This window comes from Homo sapiens, chromosome 11, assembly GCF_000001405.40.
Source record: "Homo sapiens chromosome 11, GRCh38.p14 Primary Assembly".
In the NCBI taxonomy this organism is placed as follows: Eukaryota; Metazoa; Chordata; class Mammalia; order Primates; family Hominidae; genus Homo; species Homo sapiens.
The window spans coordinates 10,825,818-10,849,440 of record NC_000011.10 but is presented as its reverse complement, the minus strand read 5'-3'; the positions used below and the strand labels follow the sequence as shown (position 1 = coordinate 10,849,440).

Genomic DNA, 23,623 nt, shown 5'->3' with positions numbered 1-23,623 from the left:
AACAGTAAAATGCCCCTCTTGTGTCCAACGCAAAAGGACTTTCCCACTTTTAATCCCTATATTTACAATAATTGAAATTGCCTTGATTTCTTAATTATGATTATTTCATAAGTTAGACTTGCCCTACCACCCCACATACAAAAATACACCATAAGCTTTTTGTGGGTATGATGTGTCATTCATAAATCTTGGTAAATTTCTAATAATATAAAAAGTAAACAGTGAATTGAGTTTCCTAGCTTAAAAAGTGAAGTATTAAGGTAAAACACAATTCCTACTATATGTAACATTACGAAAATTAACTTTGGCCCAGTGCAGTGGCTCACGCCTCTAATCTCAGCATTTTGGGAAGCCAACATGGGCAGATCACTTGAGCTCACGGGTTCGAGACCAGCCTGCGCAACATGGCGAAGTCCTATCTCTACAAAAAAATACAAAAATTAGCTGTGTGTGGTGATGCATGCTGGTTGCCTTAACCTCACTTAAACAGATAAGGCAGTAACTAGTCTTTGCCCTTCAAACACTTCAAAAGCAATATTTCTTTTTTTAGAGACAGGATCTCTTATCCCAGCTGCAGTGCAGTGGCACAATCATAGCTCACTGTAACCTCACTCCTGGGCTCAAGGTGTCCTCCCACCTCAACCTCCTGAGCAGCTAGGACTGCAGGTATGGACCACCATGCCTAGCTTTTTTATTATTATTTTTGCAGAGACTGGGTCTTGGTATGTTACCTGGACTGGCCTGGAACTCCTAGCCTCAAGCCATTCTCCTGCCTCAGCCTTTCAAAGTGTTGGGATTACAGGCATGAGCCACCAGCCAGCAGCATTTCTTTAATAAATTCCCCTGTTGCCTTAAAAATGCAGCTTTGCTGCCCCAAATATAAGTCACCTACAATTCTTGAAAGAATTTGTTAGCTATGTAAACCTAGCTGCCTCTGGAACTTACATGTTTGTTTACCTTTATTTTTAAAAGTTGGCATAAGTATACTGTTAATTAGTACAATGGAAAGAATTCTTAAGTGGGTGTCAAGAGACGTGTTCTGCTACTAATTAACTGCCTTAGGTAAGTTCACTCCCCTTTCTAGGCCTTAGTTTCTTAAGTGAAAGATGTTGAACTAGAATGAGCTCTCGGCTTGGCGTGGTTGTTCACACCTGTAATCCCAACACTTTGAGAGGCCAAAGGAGGATTCTTTGAGGCCAAAAATAATTCAAGACCAGCCTGGGCAACATAGCAAGATCCCATCTCTACAAAAAAAATGATCATTAGTTGAGCATGGTGGCTTGCACCTGTAGTCCTAGCTATTCAGGAGGCTGAGGTGGGAGGATTCCTTGAGGCCAGAAATTCAAGACCAGCCTGGGCAACATAGCAAGACCCCATCTCTAAAAAAAAAATTGATAATTAGCTGAGCATGGTGGCTTGCACCTGTATTCCTAGCTATTCAGGTGGCTGAGGTAGGAAGATTGCTTGAGCCCAGGAGTTCAAGACCAGCCTGGGCAACATGGCGAGACCTTGTCTCTACAAAAATAAAAAAATTAGCCAGGAGTGGTGGTGCATGCCTGTGGTTCTAGCAACTCAGGAGTTGAGGCGGGAGAGTCACTTGAGCCCAAGAGATAGAGAATGCAGTGAGCTGTGATTGCATCACTGCACTCCAGCCTGGGTGACCGAATGAGACCCTGTCTCAAAAAAATAAATAAATAAATGGGCTGAGTTCTAAAGTTCCTATCACATAAGATCAAAATTTAAACATAAGTAAAGATTAGGGTGATAAGATGTACACTTTCCACCAACCAAATGATAAAATTTATGAGTTGCCCCATCATGGATACTTGTTGGATGGAAAGAATGAAGTGCTTTTTTGGAATGGATAAATACTTTGAAATTTAGAAGACATTGGAGGGGAAATGAAAATGTTTGGTTATGACTGTATTGGAATACAGTAACTAAAGTATCAAGCAGGCTGTAGCGGAAATTGTTAGCTATCTCCTCAGCATGTATTTTCCTCTTCTAAATCATACCCTGATTTTATTTCAGGTGTCCATTCTTTCCCTACATAATCTGAAGCTGACCCTACTCCAGCTTTAGGAGTCAACCTGTTTTGTCCAAGATGGTAGCTTTCAAGCTTTTTTTGACTCCAATCCACAAGTAGATTTTATATGGTGATCCAGGTGTGTTTGTGTGTATACACCAAAGTTTCATAAAACAGTATTAACTCGTCATATATGTTATGCAGTTTCAAATTTAATAGTCTAATTTTTTAAGTAATGGTTATAACCCAAGAGTTAATTTCCTAATTCATTCTCAGGTTATGGACCACTGTTTGAAAGACACTGATGAGTGTAATGCAATTTCCCTTAGAAAAATTGTTGAGAAACCTGGATAAAAGCCTACTGGAGGTATGGTATTACTCTGACCACAGAATTGGTCCAGGAATACTATGTGACTCAATACAAACCAGAGAAAAGCAAGGGCAATAGTATGGGGGCTTTAAAAAAAGATGCTTCCTCACTCTTAAGGAAGAGATAAGTGTCCTGTGTATGTGAGAGCAAGAATAATGCCACTCTAGCTACCCAGCTAGTGGTTAAAGCCACAACACAACAAAGAGGGCAGAGGCCTTATATGGTAACCTGAGTGCCTACATTTGTCTCTAACTTGCTAAAATTTCAGGCATGCTGAAAGAAATATCAAACTTAGACTAAATCTATAGCAACACCAAGAAGCAAAAAAGTTATGTTTGCTCTCAAAGAATTTACATTCTAGTGGGAGAGACAGACAATAATAAGTGCTACAAGGAAATTTTTTCAAAAGAGAGTAAATGAAGGAGGGTCCTTACTGCGAGTGATCTAAGAAGGTATTTCCAAGGAAATGACATTTGAGCTGAGACCTCAGTAATAAGAAGGAGCCAATCAAATGAAGATTGGGGAAAGAATATTCCAGAGGGAAAGAAAGCAAGTACAAATACCCTGATGCAGGAAAGAGTGAGGTGTGTCTGAGGAATGCATCATAGAAATTGTCAGTAGGTAGGAAGGAGGCAGGGCACTGAGGGTCTTACAGGCCAGTGTAAGGGGTTTGGATTTTATTTCAACTGTGTTGGGAAGCCACTGTGGTTCTTAAACACGGGGAAGGGGTGAGGGTTAGGTTACCTCCTTTAGGGAGTATTTAGAAATGTATAAGGGAATTGAGGGAAGAGCTATTGTAACGAGTATTGTAGACCTATTAGTATCATATACTCTTTCTTTTGAGAAACTCAAAGCTTGGATGATATTGGGACCCTCAAAAGACTTCTGAGGAGATCCAGCAGTTTAAGGACTCCACTTTAGAAAATATACATATTAATTGGAAGATTCTGTATCTTAATTTTAAGACAGGGATCATACTTTGAACCTCTTTTCATCCCACACAGCACCATGTTAGGCTCCTTGAGACTGTTAAATTGGACAACTATCCAAATTTGGGAATATGCAAAATCATTGTCGTTACCTTTTGTCATAAAGAAATGTAGTGCATTGATCAAACAAAAGCCTGTGATCTATAAAAAATGCCCAAATTTGACTTGTTTTGTTTTTGTTTTAGTTGAGTAAAGGCATGAATATTTGCTAAGCCATCTCCAGTAACTCTTCCAAGTTGGCTTGCTACACCATGTCCTTTTGGCTGTCACAAATCTTTCCCCACTCTTCTGTTCTTTTGGGAAGAGGAAGCCGGAATTCTTAGTGGGTAGAAGAGCAAAGACTCACCCTTAGGAATTTCACTGTTGGAATTATTTTTTTAATTTTTAAATTCCCTCCACCTTGAATCACCTTGAATCATATGATTTCAAGACTTCATATAGAGAAGTAGCCCCTATCATCCTGCCCAAAGTGTGTAAGGGGAACCCTGATCTGAATAATATAGCACTGAGTAAGCTTGGAATAACAGAATAAGATTTTATTTTTCAAGGCTTTTCTCAATGCTACTAAAATAATATTTTAAGGATCACTCTGGATGTCCATTTCCAGAGCACTTGCTAGTTGTTAGGCAATTAACAACCATTTTATAGCTATGGAAGAATCACCTAACCGTCCGGAAGCACTTTGGGACTTTATAGGAGGCCTTTAAAGTGCAAAGTGTTTTTGCTATTCTTAGATGTATAAATGCAAAGGTTAGACATCACTTCTTATACTCTAAGATGTAAAAAATGGTGTATTGTCAGTCTCAAAGTTTTTGGAATTCTTGACAGATTTTCCCAGGTTCATTCAGCAACATTTATGCATCTTTTTTTTTCCTCAACCAACTGCCTGTTTTGAAAGGCAGGAGTGAAGATGGCTGTAGAATACATGTACCTTAACAGAAACTCACTTTGCAAATACCCATCTCAGCTTTTTAAAATATTTATGGTCTATTAAAGCACCATAATTTGGCCACTCAGCTGTCATCAGGAACTAAGCCAACATTCCTTTTCAGAAAAAGACTTTGGAGAGGGGCAAACACTTCTGACAGTCATACTGTGTACTTATTTTAGAAAATAAGCTGCTCTCAGGCTTCAGTATCCAGTCAAATATAATATAGAACTCTAGTCTGTTTTGAGTCCTACTACAATAATATTTTCACAATAGACTACCAGTTATGAAGTTCTCACATTTTTCCTGCATGCATCAAGTAATTCCAGCAATTCCTAAATAGTGCAGCACCCTAAACTCTACCTATTCTATTTCTGCTTAATTTTGTACTCTAGGAAAAAAGGCAGAATTTCACCAACTAAACTTTATGCAAGAAGATGAGAGATGAATAGTGCTTATCAAACCTTTGTTAAGGCTTGAAGTTCAAGACACAAACTCTATTGTGAAAATCAATGAACAATTGTTTGGTGTATGTATGGAGCATTTACTTGGTATTTAGCCAGTCAAACACTGAAACATACAACCATGCCTCTGCCTTGTATTACATCACTGCTAGTGAAATGGACTTAGGAATCTGGACAAAGTTAGTGTAGCATTTCCAAGTCATAAAATATTTTAAAACATGCTAATTCAGACTAAAGAAATGTTTAATGAAAAGTTTAAATTGTTATTTCCAATTCTATAGAGTAGAACAGGGAATGTAAGATCTATGAGGGCAGGAACCTTGACTTTCTTATCTACCTCTGTATTCTCAGGGCCTAAAATAATGCCTGATGCCTAATAGTTCATTAAATGGGTGTTTAGTATCGATATGTTAGTGGTGGGAAAAGGACTAGGTTTGACTCTGAACTCTTTGACACTTTCTAGTCTGGACCATTGTTCAAGTCACTTAAGTTCTCTCACCCTCAGTTTCTTCCTCTCTTTTAAGAGGAATAATATTTTATTCTGTGTTTTACAGCCCTGCTCTGAGAATCAAATAATGTAATACATGTAAAATCCCTATGTAAAATGTTATAGCATTATCAAATATCATTATTTTAATACTAACAATGTTATAACACAATATTACCTGGTAGAGATTTTTAGTAGACTTGAGTTAATAATAGTTACCTTTTTTGTTTTGTTCTTTTTGATCACATATTGGATGCCAGATGCTTTATATATGTATTTCATTTAATCATGATAACAACTCTGTGAGGTAAGCTATCAATCCCATTTTAGAGATGAAGAAACAAAGGCTATGTGTTAGTTACCTATTGCTTAACAAATTGCTCCAAAACATAGTGGCTTAAAACATCAACATTTATTACCTCACAGTTGCTATACGTCAGGAATCAGGTGGAGCTTAGCTTCAGAGTCTCTCACTGGCTGCGATGAAGGTGTTAGCAAGAGCTGCAGTCATTTCAAGACTCCACTAGAGCCGCGCGCGGTGGCTCACGCCTGTAATCCCAGCACTTTGAGAGGCTGAGGTGGGAGGATCACGGGGTCAGTAGATCGAGACCATCCTGGCTAACACGGTGAAACCCCGTCTCTACTAAAAATACAAAAAATTAGCCGGGCATGGTGGCAGGTACCTGTAGTCCCAGCTACTTGGGAGGCTGAGGCAGGAGAATGGCATGAACCCAGGAGGCGGAGCTTGCAGTGAGCCGTGATTGCACCACTGCACTCTAGCCTGGGCGACAGAGCGAGACTCCGTCTCAAAAAAAAAAAAAAAAGACTCCACTAGTGAAGGATCCACTTCCAAGCTTACTCCTGTTGGCAGGATTCAGTTTTTTGCAGGCTGTTGGAAGTTCCTTGACACATGGACCTCTACAGGGCAGCTCACAACATTCCAGCAGGTTTCATCAAAGTGAACAAGTGAGAAAGCACCAGTAAGACCAAAATCATAATTTTTTGTAACCTAGTTTTGGAGGTGACATCCCATCATTTTTGTTATGTTCTATTCATTAAAAGCAAGTCACTAGGTCCAGCCCATATTCAAGGGGAAGGTATTATGCAAGAGTGTGAATACCAGGAGGCGGAAATCACAGTGAGCCACTTTAGAAGGCGTCTCCCTCAGGATCAGGGTGCTCAAGTTGTTTATCCAGTTTTACAAAGCTAATGAGTAACAAACCTGAGATTCCAGGTTACATCTGTCTGACTTCAAAGCACACAGTATTTCCATTTGTTGCTCTTCTCTCAGTGAATACATAGAATTGTATGTAATTTTTATATTATGTTTATGGTTAGCATAAACTTGACTAGAGATGAATTTTTCTAAAGCATTAAAAATGTTTGGCCAGGCACGGTGGCACATGCTTGTAATCCCAGCACTTTGGGAGGCCGAGACAGGCAGATTACGAGGTCAGGAGTTCAAGACCAGCCTGACCACCATGGTGAAACTCTGTCTCTACTAAAAATACAAAAATTAGCCAGGTGCAGTGCTGCGCACCTGTAATCCTAGCTACTCAGGAGGCTGAGGCAGGAGAATTGCTTGAACCCGGGAGGCAGAGGTTGCAGTGAGCAGAGATGACACCACTGCACTCCAGCCTGGGCAACAGAGCAAGACTCTCTCAAAAAAAAGTTTGTTTTGTGTCATAGAATAAGTTACCTTCATTCTAATGTTTTTTAGGATTGTTCATCCTAATCAATTTTCTTAATAGATAGGGACAGTTAAATCTTTTTCATTCTTGGTCTGTGATAATAAATTCCAAGTTTTAGTTCATATTTTTAAAAACACACAAAGTAGAAGTTACCTGTCAGCAAGACCATCTAAGGAAAATAATCTGGTGGATATGCTAGTATTACTAATAGACCTGTGGAGAGCATTTTTTTCATTTGTTAATTTATTCACAGTTTAATGGGGTACAGGGACAGACATTTATAAATAACAATAAAGATTTATACAAGGATCTATGTAAGTTCAGAGAAAAATATGATGAAGTATGAGTCAAAGACAAATTCATAGAGATAAATGCTGTATTTGAGTCTTGAACCATGAATCTGAATTTATCAGGTGGCCAAGGCACTGTGTTTTTTTTTTTTTAAAGCCCTCCCTTTTTTTTAAGAGACAGGATCTCACTCCAGGCTGGAGTGCAGTGATGCCTTCATAGCTCACTGCCACCTCAAACTCTTGGCCTCAAGTAATCCTCCCACCTCAGCCCCCTGAGTAACTAGGACTATAGGTGTGCATCACGATGCTCAGCTAATTATCAACTTTTTGTAGAGATAGGGTCTTGCTATTTTGCCCAGGCTAGTCTCAAATTCCTGGCCTCAAGGAATTCTGCCTCGGCCTCCTAGAATGCTGGGATTATAGACTTGAGCCACCACGCCCAGTCTGTTCAAGATTATTAAAGATTATCAGAGTCCAAATTACCAGCAGACTTGGAATTTTGAGAAGTCTCTGAAAGAAGGGAGATGGGATCAAATTGGCAGTGTAATAATTCAGGCTCAGAAGTGATAGATTAAAGAAAAGAGATAGATGGAGTAGGGGAGTAGAAGGCAGGGGTGGGGATGGCATAGCGTCCTAGAGCAACTATAAAGGATAACTTTTGGGGAATGGAATTTGAAACCTCTGGTTGGGTTGGCTCCTTCCCTCATTCATTCTTCAAAGCCAAGGGTACCTCAGAATGGTATTTGCCCCTAGCTAGCACAGTGACTTTGGAAACTTGGGGCCAATAAGCCAGGCAGTACCCCAGTGGCTACACTGTGTCCAGGAAAGGAAGCCTCATTTCACACTCAGAATGTTAGCTACTGGCATACCCTGTCCAGGATTACATTTTATCCCCTCACAATCACTAGAGCAAACTATGATAAACAGAAATGGCCTCATACACAGAGAACAGGAAATAACAAGATGAGAACAAAATTAGGAACAACCAAATGCCGGAGGAAGACCAGTACCATGAAAGCATGACAGCAGTCAACAAACAAAAAGCAAGTAGTTTTCAGAGTAAACAGAAGAGGATCTGTGAAATGATAATTATTAATAATTAGTGCATCCTGGTGTGGTGTCAGGCATTCTTCTAAGCACCTCACATGTTTTTTTTAAATTTAGTTTGTATACAGAATATCCCCAGAGGAATAGGAGAGAATATTGTAATGATGAAAAAGAACCAGTTAAATAGATTGTTACCATTTTAAAAAATTATGCGAGGTGTGGTGGCTCACACCTGTAATCCCAACAATTTGGGAGGCTGAGGTGGGTGGATTGCTTGAGCTCATGAGTTTGAGACCAGCCTGGGAAACATGACGAAACCTCGTCTCTACAAAAAATACAAAAATTAGCTGGGGGTAGTGGTGCATGCCTGTAGTCCCAGCTACTCAGGAGGCTGAGGTGGGAGGATGGCTTCAGCCCAGGAGGCAGATGTTGCAGTGAGCTGAGATGGTGCCACTGCACTCCAGCCTGGGCATAGACCCAGACCTTGTCTCCAAAAAATAAATAAATAAAATACAATATAATTTTTAAAAATTAAAAGGTGGACTAAACAGTGAATGGACTTCTTCAATGAAGAGCAAACTAGCAAAACTGGAACAGTAAGCTAAAGAGTTACTCCAAAAGAACAAAGATAATGGTGGAGGGTGATTTCAGAGACATGTAAAATAAATGCAGGGATTCCAGTAACTCATAGTTCCAAAGAGAGACACATGAAATAATTTTACGGAGGAAATATTAAAGAAGTGATAGAAGAAAAGTCCATGTCTGGGTGCAGCGGTTTACACCTGTAATCCCAGCACTTTGGGAAGCTGAGGCAGCAGGATCGCTTGAGCCCAGGAGTTTAAGACTAGCTTGGGCAACACAGTGAGACCCTGTCTCTATTTTTAAATATATATGTATTTTTAAAATGTTATAAAGAAAAATTCCTGGCATTACTTTAGTGTAATTTATAAGATTTATTTAATGTCATTTGCATCTAAAAAAGGAGCAAACATTATTTTAGTGCATCTTATTTTTTATTCCACATTGCATCAAAAATTTCATCACTTCATGTGTTTCTAAATCATATATTTATGTTTGCATAATTGTGCTCATTTTTAAACTTTATATATATATATATATATATATATTTAATAGAGATGGGGTCTCACTATGATGGGGTCTCACTGTGTTCAAGACTGGTCAGTCTTGAACTCCTGGCTTCAAGCAGCCCTCCCACCTTGGCCTCCCAAAGTGCCAGGATTATAGGTGTGAGCTACCATGCCCAGCGTAAACTTTTTATTTTGAAATAAAGTTAGACTGGCTGGGTGTGGTGACTCATGCCTGTAATCTTAGCACTTTGGGAGGCTGAGGCGGGCAGATCACCTGAGGTCAGGAGTTTGAGACCAATCTGGCCAACATGGCAAAACCCCATCTCTACTAAAAATACAAAAATTAGCCAGGTGTGGTGGCGGGCTACTCAAGAGGCTGAGGCAGGAGAATCACTTGAACCCGGGAGGCAGAGGTTGCAGTGAGCCGAGATCACACCATTGCACTCCAGCCTGGGAGACAGAGCAAAACTCCATCTCAAAAATAAATAAATAAAGTTACACTTACAGAAAAGTTGCAAAAATAGTACCAATACCTTCACATAGCTTCCCCTAATATCAACGTATTATATAATTATAGCATAATTATCAAAATTAATAAACATAAGTACAATACCATTAGCTAAATTACAAATACACCTTATATAAATGAGGAGAGAAAACAAGTCAATGGGAATGATTAACCTATATAGATACATACAAAATAGAATAAAGTAGATGGGTAGCTACTACATCTTTATTTCTACAACTGGTCTCGTAAACTAGAATATCCTTCCTTCATTATCTATTCCATCTTCATACTGCCAGCATCTGCAGCTGGTTAATAAACTTCCAGTTAAGAGGAACCATTCTTGGATTTTCTGGGTTAGAGCATGTCTCCCTTAGATAAAGAGTTCTACATAGGCAAAGCTCAAAGTTGTGAAAATAGAAAGCAAAACATTTTGAGTGCATCAGTGGGTATCGTAGTGGGAAGTGTTTATCTCAAGCCTGGGTTTCCCAGCAGATATAGATAAGGGAAAAACCGCGCTTTATGTTGGTTGCTGGTTCACAGCACATTGCTGTAGCACAGGAGTTGGCATGCTTTTTTCTGTAAAGGACCAGATAATAAATATTCCAAGCTTTAAAGACCACACATGATTGATATCTGTCATGTATTCTTTTTTGTTGTTACTGTTACAACCCTTAAAAAGTGTAAAAAAAAAATTCTTAAAATCTGTCCAAAAATAGGATTTAGGGCATATTTGCCCTCAGACTATAATTTGCTAATCTCTGCTATAGGGCGACATCCTAACTTTGCAAAGCATTCCTTCCCTGCTGGGAAACAAAAGACACATACACACAAATGTTCATTGCAGCACTGTTCACAATAGCAAAGACATGGAATCAACTTAAATGCCCATCAATGACAGACTGGGTAAAGAAAATGTGGTACATATACACCATGGAATACTAAATGGCCATAAAAAAGAACGAGATCATGTCTTTTGCAGGAACGTGGATGGAGCTGGTGGCCATTATTCTTAGTAAACTCATGCAGGAACAAAACCAGATACTGCATGTTCCCACTTACAGGTGAGAGCTAAATGTTGAGAACACATGGACACACAGAGAGGAACAACAGACACTGGTGCCTACTTGAGGATGGAAGGTGGAAGGAGGGAGATGAGCAGAAAAAATAACTGTTGGCTTAGTACCTGAGTCACAAAATGGAACAGCTGGAACTGAGTCTTCAAAAAGCTGTTCAAGAGTTCTGAAGACCAGCTGCTTCTGGATGATGGAATGTACAGTAAGACCAGTGAGTCTGTGAGCATAGTATTCTGGGTCACCAAGGATTAACACTTGTGTCTGATAATCCCTTAAAGGTCAAGATATTTCCTCCTGTGCACAATTTTACCCTAGCAAATAGCTATATGTCCTTTTGATTGAAGGCTGAGAGAAAGATACTTTTGATGTAATCACACAGTTCTTTCTCAAAGGTACATAGTATACTCTGTATTCTGAGTCTCTGAACTTCCCAGGAATAGAAATAGATGTGGGCTCTGACTTTTAGTGGTGTCTGTAGTCAGGCCTGTGTTTTCCTAATCTAGAGTTTGTTCATTTGCACAAATCTTTAAGTCCTTAGTGAGCTACACATCTGTTTCAGTATTAAAAACTATGATCAATTAGCAACCGTCAAAGATCTCTGTAGGTCAAACCTTTCAATTACCACTCTTGGTAATTGTGCATAATGTTACTATGGCAGTTATGTTCTCCTGTCTGGCCTCTACCACCTCAGGATCCCTCACCATCACTGAAAGTGGAAAGCCCATTTCAAAGAAAAGAAAAAAGAACAAGAAAGGGGGAGGGGGGAAGGCCATTTCAGTGCCAACATATGCAACCTTTATCCCCAGAGGACAGCCATTATAGTAATGTTCAGGGGCACTTGCACTATACTCACCAGTCTATTTATTTATGCTATGGTGTGAAGATAATGTGCTCTAGGTCCTTTGGGGGACACGGGGGTTGATGATCCAATGCAAATAACAACCCATTTCAGGCTGGGCACAGTGGCTCACACCTGTAATCCAAGAGCTTTGGGGAGGCCTAGGCAGGAGGATTGCTTGAGCCTAAGAGTTCAAGGTTGCAGTGAGCTATGATTGTGCCACTGCACTTCGGCCTGAGCAACAGAGCAAGGCTCTGTCGTAAAAAACAAAAAACCCACTTTGAGTTTGCTTTCTTCTTTCTTCCTAAGCCTTTGGAGCTTATCTTCAGCATTATATCAAGACATTTATTCAACCCAGCAATCCCATTACTGGGTAGATACCCAGAAGAATATAAATCATTCTACCATAAAGATACATACACACAAATGTTCACTGCAACACTGTTCACAATAGCAAAGACACGGAATCAACCTAAATGCCCATCAGTGACAGACTGGATAAAGAAAATGTGGTACATATACACCATGGAATACTATGTGGCCATGAAAAAGAACGAGATCATGTCTTTTGCAGGAACGTAGATGGAGCTGGTGGCCATTATTCTTAGTAAACTCATGCAGGAACAGAAAACCAAATACTGCACGTTCCCACTTACAGGTGAGAGCTAAATGATGAGAACACATGGACACACAGAGGAACAACAGACACTGGGGCCTACTTGAGGATGGAAGGTGGGAGGAGGGAGATGAGCAGAAAAAATAACTATTGGCTTAGTACCTGGGTGACAAAATAATCTGCACAACAAACCCGTGACATGAATGTACCTATATAACAAACCTCACATGTACCCCTGGATCTAAAATAAAAGTTAAGCAAAATTTTGGGGCATGCCAGGCGCAGTGGCTCATGCCTGTAATCCCAGCATTTTGGGAGGTCGAGGTGGGCAGATCACCTGAGGTTGGGAGTTTGAGACCAGTCTGGCCAACATGGAGAAACCCCATCTCTACTAAAAATACAGAAATTAGCTGAGTTTAGTGGTGCATGCCTATAATCCCAGCTGCTTGGGAGGCGAGGCAGGAGAATCACTCAAACCCAAGAGGCAGAGGTTGCAGTAAGCTGAGACCAGCCCCTGCACGCCAGCCTGGGTGACAAAGTGAGACTGTCTCAAGAAAAAAAAAAAAAAAATTATTGCCAACCCAATCCTATTTGGTTTCAGTCACCAGTTGAGTCTAGTTTTTAATTAATCAACCGAGCATAACTAGAACACTCAAAGCTACCTGAACTAGTACCAGAATCTTAGACAAATGTTCTCATATCAATACATTCAGCCCAATCCAAAATTATGTTCCTTTTTCCTTGATCTTGCATCTTCAAGAGTCTATTTCTACATATATTCTCCAGCTTTTTGCCAATGCAGTTTAGCAAAATCTTACCATTCTTCTGACATGTAATCTTTCTCTTCCCAAACTTACTTTATTGTTGGTCCTTTAGAGCAGCGGTCCCCAACATTTTCCAGGGACTGGTTTCATGGAAGACAGTTTTTCCATGGACCAGTATGGGGGATTGGTGGGGAGGGGTAGGGGTAGGATGATTCAAGCTCATTACATTTTTTGTACACTTTATATTATTATTACATTGTAATATGTAATGAAATAATTATGCAACTCACCATAATGTAGAATCAGTGGAAGCCCTGAGCTTGTTTTCTTGCAACTAGATGGTCTCATCTGGGAGTAATGGGAGACAGTGAAGATCATCAGGCATTAGATTCTCATAAGGAGCATGCAACCTAGATCCCTCACATGTGCAGTCCACAATAGGGTTTGTGCTCCTATGAGAATCTAATGCTGCTGCTGTTCTGACAGAAGGCAGAGTTCAGGCGGTCATGCAAGCAATGGGGAATGGCTATAAATACAGATGAAGCTTCACTCACTCACCTGCCCCTCACCTCCTGCTGTGCAGCCTGATCCTAACAGGCTGGGGACCTCTGCCTTACAGCATGTGAGGATCTGACTCAATATATGAATCTGGAGTTAGTTATAGGAGATAGGATAGAGAAGAGGAAAATTGCCATCCCTGTGCAAGATGAGACCTTTATTATCTGTATTGTGTGACACATTACCCAAAATTTAGCAACTGAAAATAACAAGCATTATCTCACACAGTTTCTTTAGGTCAGGAATCTAGAATTGGCTTAGGGGGGTGATTCTGGCTCAGGTTATCTCATAACGTTGGTGTCAAGATGTCATTTGGGGCTTGACTGGGGCTGGCGGATCTGCTTTCAATATGGTTCACTCACATACTTGGCAAGTTTGTGCTGGGTCTTTGTAGCAGGCCTCAGTTCCATGCCATTTGAACTTCTCTGTAGTGTCTTTACAATATGGCATCTGGCTTTCTCCAGATGTAAGGCAGAAATGACAATACCTATTATGATATCTATAGCCTCAGAAGTCACACACCATCATGTCTGCAATATTCTATAGGTTACACAGGTCAACCCTAATGAGTATGGGAGGAGGCTACATAAGGTCATTTAATACTAGAAAGTGGAGATCACTGGGGCCTTCTTGGAGACTGGTTACTGAAGGATCACAATATGGTTTTTGATATGGCTTTTCTGTGTCCCCACCCATATCTCATCTTGAATTGTAGGGACCAGGTGGAGATAATTGAATCATGGGGGCAGTTTCCTACATGCTGTTCTTGTGATGGTAAGTAAATTGTCACGAGATCATGATGGTTTTATAAGGGGCTTCCCCCTTCGCTTGGCTCTCATTCTTCTCTCTCCTGCTGCCTGTGAAGAAGGACATGTTTGCTTCCACTTCCACCATGATTGTAAGTTTCCTGAGGTGTCCCCAGCCCTGCAGAACTGTGAGTCAATTAAACCTCTTTTTTTTTTTAATAAATTACCTAGTCTCGGGTATGTCTTTATAGCAGCATGAGAATGGACTAATACAGTTTTCAGCAAAGGCAAGACCAGCCTCATCAGAGGAGTAAACAGGCTGCTTCTGTAGGCATGGGACATTCAGTAGATTTCGGGAGCACAGGATACCATTTTTATAGCCCTACTCTTTTTCAGTCGCTGCCCTAACTTCCACAATCAGAGATCAAGTAAAATCATTAATTCTACTTTGGTCATAATTCAGCATTCTACTGAATCAGATTCTGCTTCTAATTTTTGATGTGTTAGACTTGTGGCTTTACGGGATTTTTTAGGGCAATCATGGAAAATCCCTGGTTTTCTGAAGTGCTGAGTTAAAAATTTGAAATCTTGGGCCTATAATTTTCTTTAACGTTTCTAGCATAGTTAGAAGCAACCAGCACAACCCCTGCCCTTATATTCCTTGTACCTTCCATAATAGTCCCTCCCAGCAGCCAGCTGGTCCACCAAAACCTTGCCTTTTCCTTTTCAAATTAAAAAAAAATTTTTTTTTCTTTTTTTTTTTCAGATACAGTCTTGCTCTGTCACCCAGGCTGGAGAGCACTGGTGTGGTCATAGCTCACTGCAGCCTCCATCTCCTGTGCTTAAGCGATTCTCTTACCTCAGCCTCCTAAGTAGCTAAGACTACAGGCACATGCCACCACACCTGGCTAATTTTATTATTATTGTTTTGAGACAGAGTCTTGCTCTGTTGCCCAGACTGGAATACAGTGGCACAATCTCAGCTCACTGCAGCCTCCGCCTCCTGGGTTCAAGCAATTCTCTTGCCTTAGCTTCCCAAGTAGCTGGGATTACAGGTGCATGCCACCATGCCCAGCTAATTTTTGTATTTTCAGTAGAGACGGGGTTTCACCATGTTGGCCAGGCTGGTCTTGAACTCCTGGTTTCAAGCAGTCCACCTGTCTCGGCCTCCCAAAGTGCTGGGATTACAGGCATGAGCCACCACACCAGGCCTATTATTATTTTTTCATGCAGATGGGGGTCTCACTATGTTGCCCAAGATGGTCTCAAACGTCTGGCCTCAAGCACTTCTCCCACCTCAGCTTCCCAAAGCCCTGGACTACAGATATGAACCACTTCACCCAGCCCCAAAGCCTTGACTTTAATAGACACTTCATTCCAGATGACCAGAGATGATCCTTTCTTTAAAAAATATATATTTATTTATTTATTTATTTTGAGATGGAGTTTCGCTCTTGTCGCCCAGGCCGGAGTGCAATGGTGCAATCCCGGCTCACTGCAACCTCCATATCCCGGTTTCAAGCTATTCTCCTGCCTCAGCTGGGATTACAGGCGCATGCCACCATGCCCAGCTAATTTTTGTATTTTTAGTAGAGATGGGGTTTTGCCATGTTGGCCAGGCTGGTCTTAAACTCCTGACCTCATACAATCCATCTGCCTTGGCCTCCCAAAGTGCTGGGATTACAGGTGTGAGCCACCATACCCAGCCAAGTTTTCTCTAATAGTAACAAGCTCCTCACTGCCTTCAGATACAAGTGGAAAGTTTATTGCTTACAACTTTTCTTATTTCTGCATCAATCCGTGTTCAGTTGCATAACAGAGAATCTGGTCAAGTTTAAGCATAAAGGGATTTAAAGCAAGGAATTGAATGTGTACAAAACTACTGAAAGGACTAGAGGAGCAAAGCTGTAGGTCCAACTCCTTGGAACACCTTCCACCACTTACAACTACTCACAACTTCCACCACTCACAACTCTTTCTACCATGATTAGAAAAGCTCCCACTGGACTAGCACGGTGGCTTATACCTGTAATCCCAAAACTTTGGGAGGCTGAGGCAGGAGGACCGCTTGGGCCCAGGAGTTTGAGACCAGCCTGGGCAACATAGTGAAATCCCATCTCTAAAAAAAAAAAAAAAGCCAGGAGTGTTGGGGCACACCTGTTGTCCCAGCTACTCCAGTGGCTGAGGGGTAAGGACCACTTGAGCCTGGGTGGTTGAAGTTACAGTGCACTGTGATTGTGCTACTGCACTCCAGCCTGAGCCACAGAGTGAGACCCTGTCTTGAAAGAAAGAGAGAGAAAAGAATAGCTCATGCCACCATTGCTGTAGGAATCTGCTGCCATTTTTGCTCACCACACAACTTATTACCTCTTCTGCTGCTGCTATTATAGGAAACTACTTGCTCCAGAATCATACAAATCACCTCTGCCAATCCACATGGCAAATTAGAGTCCATGCATCTTTCCTCTCTCCTGACATGACTCGGTTCTGAATTCATTTCTCACAAGATGTACTGAACCAAATCATGGCAGGAATGCTCACTGAAAGGGATTCTGGTAAATGTCACTTGTTAGCTTTCCAGCTTTTGCAGATTAGAAATGGATTGAGCATCAGTCCATAGCTCTCAAAACATTTTGTTCAGATCAAATATTGTACTATAGAATTGGTTAGTAGAATTGATTCTATCAGATTGAGAGTTCTTTTAAAACAGAGATAAAATTTTATTCATATTTAGAATACCCAGCATTTACCAGTGCCTCCCTCAAATGCAATGCCACAAACAAAATACTATTTTTTTTTTTTTTTTTGAGACAGAATCTTGCTCTGTCACCCAGGCTGGAGTGCAGTGGCATGATCTTGGCTCACTGCAAGCTCTGCCTCCTGGGTTCACGCTATTCTCCTGCCTCAGCCTCCCGAGTAGCTGGGACCACAGGCGCCTGCCACCATGCCTGGCTAATTTTTTGTAGTTTTAGTAGAGACGGGGTTTCACCGTGTTAGCCAGGATGGTCTCGATCTCCTGACCTTGTGATCCGCCCGCCTCGGCCTCCCAAAGTGCTGGGATTACAGGCGTGAGCCACCGCGCCCGGCCAACACAATACTATTTTATGAATTTGTATTAATACTTACTAAGAACCTTTATGTATGTAAGTAAAGACTCATCCTTGCATGATTCCCTTTTTCTGCCAGATGCAACTCGTTGCCTTCACTCAACCCCTGGCTGAAACTGAAATTTCCTCCACATCATTTCTTATCACATCTTAGAAAATACCATGGTGATTGGAAAGATTAAGGATTTGGGTATCAGACAAATTTGTGTTTGAATTTTGGCTTATCTACTTGCTAGCTATATAATCATGAGTAAGTTATTAATGCCTCTAAACCTTAGCTATACTATTAGGATAGTAATAATTAACCTCACAAAGTTGTGAGGATAATGTGAGATAGTGTATGAAAGTACCTGGCACATAGTAGACACTTTATGCGATTATTAAAATGTCTTCCTCCACCTCATAAATATAATTTTGGAATTGTAAAGAACATAAGAGTTTATCTAGTCCAGCTGCATAATACTAATAAGCTGAAAGCCAAAGGAGGTGAAGCTTCACGTCTCCTGTTTCTACCTACTCCAGCTTATCTGGCTCATCTCCTATACATGTTGATACACTATGTCCTATATATTGACACAGTTGCACCTCAGATCCCTGATAGAAGCTTATTTGAGATTTTCTTATCTTCCCTTGCATGAGACTAAATGTGTATCTTTCCTGTTCCACTGGCCCAGAATAGCTTTCTTGTCTTGATCATTGTCTCAAGGACAAGTCATTCCTATATGCCTTCTGCTGAAAGGGAAGTTTTCATCCCAACATTCTGGAATCCAAGTGATATGGTTAGGCTTTGTGTTCCCACCTAAATCTCATCTTGAACTGTAATCTCCATAATCCCCACATGTCAAGGGAGGAACCCAATGGGAGGTGATTGGATCATGAGGGCAATTTTCCCCATGCTGTTCTTGTGATAGTGAGGAAGTTCTCAAGAGATCTGATGGTTTTGTAAACATCTGGCCTTTCCCCTGCTCACTCTTCTCTCTCCTGCTGCCATGCGAAGAAGGTCCTTGTTTTCTCTTCACCTTCCGCTGTGATTGTAAATCCTGAGGCCTCCCCAGCCATGTGGAACTGTGAGTCAATTAAACTTTTTCCTTTATAAATTACCCAGTCTTGGGTAATATCCTTTTTTTTTTTTTTTTTTTTTTTTTGAGACGGAGTCTGGCTCTGTCTCCCGGGCTGGAGTGCAGTGGCACAATCTCAGCTCACTGCAACCTCCGCCTCACAGGTTCACGCCATTCTCCTGCCTCAGCCTCCCCAGCAGCTGGGACTATAGGCGCAAGCTGCCACGCCCAGCTAATTTTTGTATTTTTAGTAGAGACGGGGTTTCATCGTGTTAGCCAGGATGGTCTCGATCTCCTGACCTTGTGATCCACCCACCTCGGCCTCCCAAAGTGCTGGGATTACAGGTGTGAGCCCCCGTGCCCGTCCGGGTAATATTCTTAATAGCAGTGTGAGAGAATGGACTAATACAGTAAATTGGCACCAAGAGTTTGGGGCACTGCTATAAAGATACTTGAAAATTTGGAAGCGACTTTGGGACTGGGTGACAGGCAGATGTTGGAACAGTTTGGAGGGCTCAGAAGAAGACAGGAAGATGTGGGAAAGTTTGAACCTTCCTAGAGACTTGTTGAATGGTTTTGACCAAAATGCTGATAATGATGTGGACAATGTAGTCCAGGCTGAGGTGGTCTCAAATGGAGATGAGGAACTTCTTGGGAACTGGAGCAAAGGGTCACTCTTGCTATGCTTTAGCAAAGAGACTGCTGGCATTTTGCCACTGCCCTAGAGATCTGTGAAACTTTGAACTTGAGAGAGATGATTTAAGGCATCTGGCAGAAGAAATTTCTAAGTAGCAAAGCATTCAAGAGGTGACCTGGTTGATTTTGAAAGTGTTCAGTCTTATACATTCACAAAGAGATAATTTGAAATTGGAACTTATTTTTAAAAGGGGGTCAGGCGCAGTGGCTCATGCCTGTAATCCCAGCCCTTTGGGAGGCCAATTGCAGGTGGGTCACTTGAGGTCAGGGGTTGGAGACCAGCCTGGCCTACATGGCAAAACCTTGTCTCTATGAAAAATACAAAAATTAGCCAGGCATGGTGGTGGGTGCCTGTAATCCCAGCTACTACTCTGGAGGCTGAGGTGCAAGAATCACTTGAACCTGGGAGGCGGAGGTTGCAGTGAGCTGAGATCACGCCACTGCACTCTAGCTTGGGTGACAGAGTGAGACTCCATCTCAAAAAAAAAAAAGGGGGGGGACAACAGAGTGTAAAAATGTGGAAAATTTGCAGCTGACCATGTAGTAGACAAGAAAAAACCATTTATGGGGAGGAATTTAAGCCAGCTGCAGAAATTTGCATGAGTAACCAGCAGCCAAACGTTAATAGCCAGGACGATGGGGCAAATGTCTCCAGGGCATGTCAGAGACCTTCATGGCAGCCCCTCCCATCACAGACCTGGAGGCCTAGTAGGAAAAAATGGTTTTGTGGGCCAGGCCCCGCTGCTGCTCTGTTTGTAGCCTTGGGACTTGGCACCCTTCATCCTAGCTGTGGCTGAAAGGGTCCAAGGTACAGCTTGGGTCATGGCTTCAGAGGATGCAAGCCCCAAGTCTTGGCAGCTTCCATGTGGTGTTGGGCCTGCGGGTGCACAGAAAAACAAGAAGTGAGGTTTGGGCACCTCTGCCTAGATTTCAGAGGATACATGGAAATGCCCAGGTGTCCAGGCAGAAGTCTTCTGCAGGGGCAGAGCTCTCACAGAGAACCTCTGCTAGTGCAGTGTGGAAGGGAAATGTGAAGTTGGATTTCTCATGCAGAGTCCCCACTGGGGCACTGCCTAATTGGAGCTATGAGAAGAGGGCCACCATCCTCCAAACAGGTTGCACCATTAGCCTGGAAAAGCCGCAGATACTCAATGCCAGCCATGAAAGCAGCCAGGGCGGGGGCTATACCCTGCAAAGCCACAGGGGCAGGGCTGCCCAAGGCCATGGGAGCCCACCTTTTTCATCAGCATGACCTGGATATGAGACATGGAGTCACAGGAGATCCTTTTGGAGCTTAAAGATTTAATGACTGCCCTGCTGGATTTCAGACTTGCGTGGGGCCTGTATCCCCTTTGTTTTGGCCAATTTCTTCCATTTGGAATGGGAGTATTTATCCAATGCCTATACCCCCATAGTATCTTGGAAGTAATTAACTTGCTTTTGATTTTATAGGCTACTAGACAGAAGTGGCATGCCTTGTCTCAGATGGGACTTTGAACTTGGACTTTTGGTTTAATGCTGGAATGAGTTAAGACTTTGAGGTACTGTTGGGAAGGCATGATTATGTTTTGAAATGAGAGAAAAAGACTTGGGAGGGGCCAGGGGCGGAATGATATGGAGGCTTTGTGTTCCCACCCAAATCTCATCTTGAATTGTAATCCCCATAATCCCCATGTGTCAAGGGAGGGACCTGGTGGGAGGTGAGTGGATCATAGGGGTCGTTCCCCCGATGCTGTTCTTGTGATAGTGAATGAGTTCTCACAAGATCTGATGGTTCTATAAGCATCTGGCATTTCCCCTGCTCACCCTTCTCTCTCTTATTGCCATGTGAAGAAGGTCCTTGTTTTTTCTTCACCTTCCACCATGATTGTAAGTCTCCTGAAGACTCGCCAGCCATGTAGAACTGTGAGTCAATTAACCTCTTTTCTTTATAAATTACTTAGTCTCAGGTAGTATCTTTATAGCAGTGTGAGAATGGATGAATACACGAAGATCCCCCTTCTAGACACCAGAATGTATAATCTTGGTGTAAACTGTTTATCTCATCATAGCTATAGATGAACCCATCTTTGGCTACTGAATCTCCCCTGTATTTCTGAACCTTCCTCTGCCATCAGCCAGGCCAAACAGGGAGGCAGTTTCTAATGCCTAATTTTAGACCTAAGTCTTGTACACTTAGGCCTATCTTAGAATGTCATAATTCACCAATAAGTTCTAAAATAGGACATCTCTAGCAAGACATCATTACTTATTATTTGTGCCCATAGAAACTTCTTCCTCTGCCTTCATTAAGGCTTTAATCATTTATAGTCTCCTAAGAGACCTCTTTTATTTTTTTCTATGTTTATATGTTGTCTCTCCAACAAGGCTATGACCTCTTTTGGGGACAGTTACCCCATCTCCTACATTCTGTAGTCCTGTTGTGCATAACAATATTAATCAATCCATAAAAATAATTTTTAAAACCTGGATTCAGACCAAATCTTTCAAACTTTTCCCACTCTCTGGACAAAGGCCGAGAAAGAAAAAGAATAGAGTCCTTACCTTACTGAAATATTCAACCTATTTGAAGTCAAGTAATTCAAATCTCTTTGGCTTTATGGATTTCAATCTATTCCCACCCATCCAGAGTGTTACTGGTTTTTATCTTAGCTTTTGATTTCTTTCCACTGAGAGCTGCTCCTCTGCTCACCTTTAACTGCTCTTTCCACTCATACTCATGGCACTTTATACTTCCTCTTTCATAACACATCGCATTTGGATTTATTTTTCACTATCTTTCTTCTCCCAAGGACTTTTAGTTACATGTAGGCAGAGACAATTTCTTCCTTCTTCATTACTAGGTATATCCCCAGCATCTTAGCATAATGCCTGGCACATAGTAGGCATTCAGTAAATATTTATTGAATAAATGAATAACTCTGTGCCTGGCCCCAAGTTACACTGTCTCACATTTCTCCCTGGCCCATATTTGTAAATAACAAAATGTATTTCCCTTGTTAGTGTATTTGAGATTTTTTTCAAAGTGAGTTTTATTAAAACATTATGGATTCCAAAAGGAAGTTAAACAAACTACAAAAAAGAAAATTCAAATTTCAAAAATACAGATTTATTTAATAAAATTTATTTTTTTCAGTATAGCTTTCTGTTCTGACACATACTGATTAATGCCCAGGCTCATGATGTCTGTTCCACATCCTGCTCGATGCTGCCACTCACCTAGTGTGCTCTTCCCTTGTCCCCTTTCTTCCCTGAGGTCTCAGGTATGTAAGTCCTGGGAGAAATTGCACAGGAATGGGATGATGGGCCTTTTTTTTTTTTTTTTTTTTTTTTTTTGGATGAACTGTTGTTCTTACTCTTCTCCTTGTGCCTATTAGCAGTTTATCTTTCTGTGCATCTATCTGTAGTAGTGGGACCAGTGAAAATGGCAAGCATCTTTAGTCAGTGAGGAAAAAATTGTGTACTACTTTTGTCTAATCAGTACCATTTCTTCCTAATAATCTCCCTTGGAGAGATTATTATGCCAAATTAAAAATTTTTAATTAAAGTCAAGCTAAATTTCATATATCAATATATCACTCCACCTGCTAGTCTAGTCTCTGTTATAAAGGATTGGTTTGAAAGTGCATTAGTCTGTGCAGGCTGCTATAACAAAATACCATAAAACAGGTAGCTTTTAAGCTGCAGTAATTTAGTTTTGGCAGTTTTGGAGGCTGGAAAATCCAAAATAAAAACACCAACAGGCTGGGCGTGTGGCTCACACCTATATCCCAGCACTTTGGGAAGCTGAGGTGGGTGGATCACTTGAGGTCAAGAGTTGAGACCAGCCTGGCCAACATGGTGAAACCCCATCTCTACAAAAAATACAAAACAAATTAGCTGGGCATGGTGGTGGGCGCCTGTAATGCCAGCTGCTCAGGAGACTGAAGCAGGAGAATCGCTTGAACCTGGGAGGTAGAGGTTGCAGTGAGCCAAGATCATGCCACTGCACTCCAGCCTGGGCTACAGAGTGAGACTCCATCTCAAAGAAAAAAAAAAAAAAACACCAACAGATTCAGTGTCTGATGAGGGCCCTTGTTCTGATACATAAATTGTGCCTTCTTGATGTACCCTCACATGGCAGAAGGAGCAAACAAGCACCTCGGGCCTCTTTCATGAGATAATTAATCCCATTGATGAGGGTTCTGTCCTCAGGATTTAATTACCTCCCACTAAGGGCCCCCATTTCTTAATACAGTCAGCTTGGGGGTTAGAATTTCAACGTATGAATTTAGGGGAG

The 23,623-nt window shown here is 41.4% G+C and overlaps 2 annotated features.

The window, feature by feature from the left end:
* Positions 216–416: a silencer, noted in NCBI's record as "fragment chr11:10870572-10870772 (GRCh37/hg19 assembly coordinates)". NCBI's record gives its function as "represses an EF-1alpha promoter that drives an FKBP-Casp9 reporter gene in an ReSE screen in HepG2 liver carcinoma cells {active_cell/tissue: HepG2}" and the evidence as "EXISTENCE:reporter gene assay evidence [ECO:0000049][PMID:32094911]".
* Positions 10,145–10,439: a silencer, noted in NCBI's record as "tiled region #5180; K562 Repressive DNase matched - State 8:EnhW". NCBI's record gives its function as "represses a minimal TATA promoter and a strong SV40 promoter by Sharpr-MPRA in K562 cells {active_cell/tissue: K562}" and the evidence as "EXISTENCE:reporter gene assay evidence [ECO:0000049][PMID:27701403]".